The sequence below is a fragment of the Homo sapiens genome, chromosome 13 (assembly GCF_000001405.40).
Source record: "Homo sapiens chromosome 13, GRCh38.p14 Primary Assembly".
In the NCBI taxonomy this organism is placed as follows: domain Eukaryota; kingdom Metazoa; phylum Chordata; class Mammalia; order Primates; family Hominidae; genus Homo; species Homo sapiens.
In genome coordinates, this window is record NC_000013.11 from 100,697,305 (window position 1) to 100,702,061 (window position 4,757).

Below are 4,757 nucleotides of genomic sequence, written 5' to 3' on the forward strand. Positions count from 1 at the left end.
TGTCTTATACTAATGAGCAATGAGGGCAGCTAGGGATCGCTTTTTTCACCATCTGCTAGTTGCTTTTTCCTTCACTTCATCCCATGTGGACCAGATTCTGTTTCGGTCAGCAGCGTTGTGACCAGAAATCAAGTCCCACCTCACATTTATCTATCTATGTGGGTGGAGGAGGTGTCTGGGCTGGTGAACCAGGCTCAGCACAAGCCATAGCTGTTTGTGGCCTTTCTAAATCCAGCTGTTCTGGCAGAGTATCACGCAGGGAAAGCAGCTGTGCAGATGGCTGCACTAAATGTGATATCGCCTCAAGGTCCTGCTAAGGGGCACTGCTGTGTCTGAGACCAGAAAGCGCTGGGCATCTACTGGGCATGGTGGCCTCTGAGCAATGGTGCTGGGTTCTGTCTGCACAGCTGAGCTTTTCCTCTGCCTGCTCCTTTGGGGCTGAGCAATTGAACTTGGAATTCTTGGCACTGAGATGGCAGGTATAATGAAGGTTTCAAGAGGCATATAATGAAATTTTTGATAAATAGCACAGGCAGGGGCTCAAACAAGAAATTAGAAAAATGATCTGACCTTGGTTGTTTCCCAGGCTGATAAAATGGCTCAACCGGTTATAATGTTCAGTAACATTTTCCTTTGCCTGTTTTTCTCTCACTATAAGTCACCCCCGAGGTAAGTGACTCTTCCTTTTTCTTTTCTTGATGTGACAACTCTGGCCTTCTGCCTAGAATGGTGCTGTTCTTATTTCTGCAAAACCATTTAAGAAAATTGGGTAGAGTCGGGGGGAGGAGCCAAGATGGCCGAATAGGAACAGCTCCGGTCTACAGCTCCCAGCGTGAGCGACGCAGAAGACGGGTGATTTCTGCATTTCCATCTGAGGTACTGGGTTCATCTTACTAGGGAGTGCCAGACAGTGGGCGCAGGCCAGTGTGTGCGCGCACCATGCGTGAGCCGAAGCAGGGCGAGGCATTGCCTCACCTGGGAAGCGCAAGGGGTCAGGGAGTTCCCTTTCCGAGTCAAAGAAAGGGGTGACGGACGCACCTGGAAAATCGGGTCACTCCCACCCAAATATTGCGCTTTTCAGACCGGCTTAAAAAACGGCGCACCACGAGACTATATCCCACACCTGGCTCGGAGGGTCCTACGCCCACTGACTGTGCTAGCAATCTCGCTGATTGCTAGCACAGCAGTCTAAGATCAAACTGCAAGGCAGCAGCGAGGCTGGGGGAGGGGCGCCCGCCATTGCCCAGGCGTGCTTAGGTAAACAAAGCAGCCGGGAAGCTCAAACTGGGTGGAGCCCACCACAGCTCAAGGAGGCCTGCCTGCCTCTGTAGGCTCCACCTCTGGGGGCAGGGCACAGACAAACCAAAAGACAGCAGTAACCTCTGCAGACTTAAGTGTCCCTGTCTGACAGCTTTGAAGAGAGCAGTGGTTCTCCCAGAACGCAGCTGGAGATCTGAGAATGGGCAGACTGCCTCCTCAAGTGGGTCCCTGACCCCTGACCCCCGAGCAGCCTAACTGGGAGGCACCCCCCAGCAGGGGCACACTGACACCTCACACGGCAGGGTATTCCAACAGACCTGCAGCTGAGGGTCCTGTCTGTTAGAAGGAAAACTAACAAACAGAAAGGACATCCACACCAAAAACCCATCTGTACATCACCATCATCAAAGACCAAAAGTAGATAAAACCACAAAGATGGGGAAAAAACAGAACAGAAAAACTGGAAACTCTAAAACGCAGAGCGCCTCTCCTCCTCCAAAGGAACACAGTTCCTCACCAGCAACGGAACAAAGCTGGATGGAGAATGATTTTGACGAGCTGAGAGAGGAAGGCTTCAGACGATCAAATTACTCTGAGCTACGGGAGGACATTCAAACCAAAGGCAAAGAAGTTGAAAACTTTGAAAAAAATTTAGAAGAATGTATAACTAGAATAACCAATACAGAGAAGTGCTTAAAGGAGCTGATGGAGCTGAAAACCAAGGCTCGAGAACTACGTGAAGAATGCAGAAGCCTCAGGAGCCGATGCGATCAACTGGAAGAAAGGGTATCAGCAATGGAGGATGAAATGAATGAAATGAAGTGAGAAGGGAAGTTTAGAGAAAAAATAATAAAAAGAAATGAGCAAAGCCTCCAAGAAATATGGGACTATGTGAAAAGACCAAATCTACGTCTGATTGGTGTACCTGAAAGTGATGGGGAGAATGGAACCAAGTTGGAAAACACTCTGCAGGATATTATCCAGGAGAACTTCCCCAATCTAGCAAGGCAGGCCAACGTTCAGATTCAGGAAATACAGAGAACGCCACAAAGATACTCCTCGAGAAGAGCAACTCCAAGACACATAATTGTCAGATTCACCAAAGTTGAAATGAAGGACAAAATGTTAAGGGCAGCCAGAGAGAAAGGTCGGATTACCCTCAAAGGGAAGCCCATCAGACTAACAGCGCATCTCTCGGCAGAAACCCTACAAGCCAGAAGAGAGTGGGGGCCAATATTCAACATTCTTAAAGAAAAGAATTTTCAACCCAGAATTTCATATCCAGCCAAACTAAGCTTCATAAGTGAAGGAGAAATAAAATACTTTACAGACAAGCAAATGCTGAGAGATTTTGTCACCACCAGGCCTGCCCTAAAAGAGCTCCTGAAGGAAGCGCTAAACATGGAAAGGAACAACCGGTACCAGCCGCTGCAAAATCATGCCAAAATGTAAAGACCATCGAGACTAGGAAGAAACTGCATCAACTAACGAGCAAAATCACCAGCTAACATCATAATGACAGGATCAAATTCACACATAACAATATTAACTTTAAATGTAAATGGACTAAATTCTCCAATTAAAAGACACAGACTGGCAAGTTGGATGAAGAGTCAAGACCCATCAGTGTGCTGTATTCAGGAAACCCATCTCACGTGCAGAGACACACATAGGCTCAAAATAAAAGGATGGATGAAGATCTCCCAAGCAAATGGAAAACAAAAAAAGGCAGGGGTTGCAATCCTAGTCTCTGATAAAACAGACTTTAAACCAATAAAGATCAAAAGAGACAAAGAAGGCCATTACATAATGGTAAAGGGATCAATTCAACAAGAGGAGCTAACTATCCTAAATATATATGCACCCAATACAGGAGCACCCAGATTCATAAAGCAAGTCCTGAGTGACCTACAAAGAGACTTAGACTCCCACACATTAATAATGGGAGACTTTAACACCCCACTGTCAACTTTAGACAGATCAACGAGACAGAAAGTCAACAAGGATACCCAGGAATTGAACTCAGCTCTGCACCAAGTGGGCCTAATAGACATCTACAGAACTCTCCACCCCAAATCAACAGAATACACATTTTTTTCAGCACCACACCACACCTATTCCAAAATTGACCACATAGTTGGAAGTAAAGCTCTCCTCAGCCAATGTAAAAGAACAGAAATTATAACAAACTATCTCTCAGACCACAGTGCAATCAAACTAGAACTCAGGATTAAGAATCTCACTCAAAGCCGCTCAACTACATGGAAACTGAACAACTTGCTCCTGAATGACTACTGGGTACATAACGAAATGAAGGCAGAAATAAAGATGTTCTTTGAAACCAACGAGAACAAAGACACAACACACCAGAATCTCTGGGACGCATTCAAAGCAGTGTGTAGAGGGAAATTTATAGCACTAAATGCCCACAAGAGAAAGCGGGAAAGATCCAAAATTGACACCCTAACATCACAATTAAAAGAACTAGAGAAGCAAGAGCAAACACATTCAAAAGCTAGCAGAAGGCAAGAAATAACTAAGATCAGAACAGAACTGAAGGAAATAGAGACACAAAAAACCCTTCAAAAGATCAATGAATCCAGGAGCTGGTTTTTTGAAAGGATCAACAAAATTGATAGACCGCTAGCAAGACTAATAAAGAAAAAAAGAGAGAAGAATCAAATAGACACAATAAAAAATGATAAAGGGGATATCACCACCGATCCCACAGAAATACAAACTACCATCAGAGAATACTACAAACACCTCTACGCAAATAAACTAGAAAATCTAGAAGAAATGGATAAATTCCTCGACACATACACTCTCCCAAGACTAAACCAGGAAGAAGTTGAATCTCTGAATAGACCAATAACAGGAGCTGAAATTGTGGCAATAATCAATAGTTTACCAACCAAAAAGAGTCCAGGACCAGATGGATTCACAGCCGAATTCTACCAGAGGTACAAGGAGGAACTGGTACCATTCCTTCTGAAACTATTCCAATCAATAGAAAAAGAGGGAATCCACCCTAACTCATTTTATGATGCCAGCATCATTCTGATACCAAAGCTGGGCAGAGACACAGCCAAAAAAGAGAATTTTAGACCAATATCCTTGATGAACATTGATGCAAAAATCCTCAATAAAATACTGGCAAACCGAATCCAGCAGCACATCAAAAAGCTTATCCACCATGATCAAGTGGGCTTCATCCCTGGGATGCAAGGCTGGTTCAATATACGCAAATCAATAAATATAATCCAGCATATAAACAGAGCCAAAGACAAAAACCACATGATTATCACAATAGATGCAGAAAAAGCCTTTGACAAAATTCAACAACCCTTCATGCTAAAAACTCTCAATAAATTAGGTATTGATGGGACGTATTTCAAAATAATAAGAGCTATCTATGACAAACCCACAGCCAATATCATACTGAATGGGCAAAAACTGGAAGCATTCCCTTTGAAAACTGGCACAAGACAGGGATG

The 4,757-nt window shown here is 44.2% G+C and overlaps 1 annotated feature.

Moving 5' to 3' along the window:
• Window positions 988-1,568: an enhancer, noted in NCBI's record as "H3K27ac-H3K4me1 hESC enhancer chr13:101350546-101351126 (GRCh37/hg19 assembly coordinates)". NCBI's record gives its function as "activates a minimal SCP1, AML or CMV promoter by ChIP-STARR-seq in naive H9 embryonic stem cells {active_cell/tissue: H9 hESC(naive)}" and the evidence as "EXISTENCE:reporter gene assay evidence [ECO:0000049][PMID:30033119]".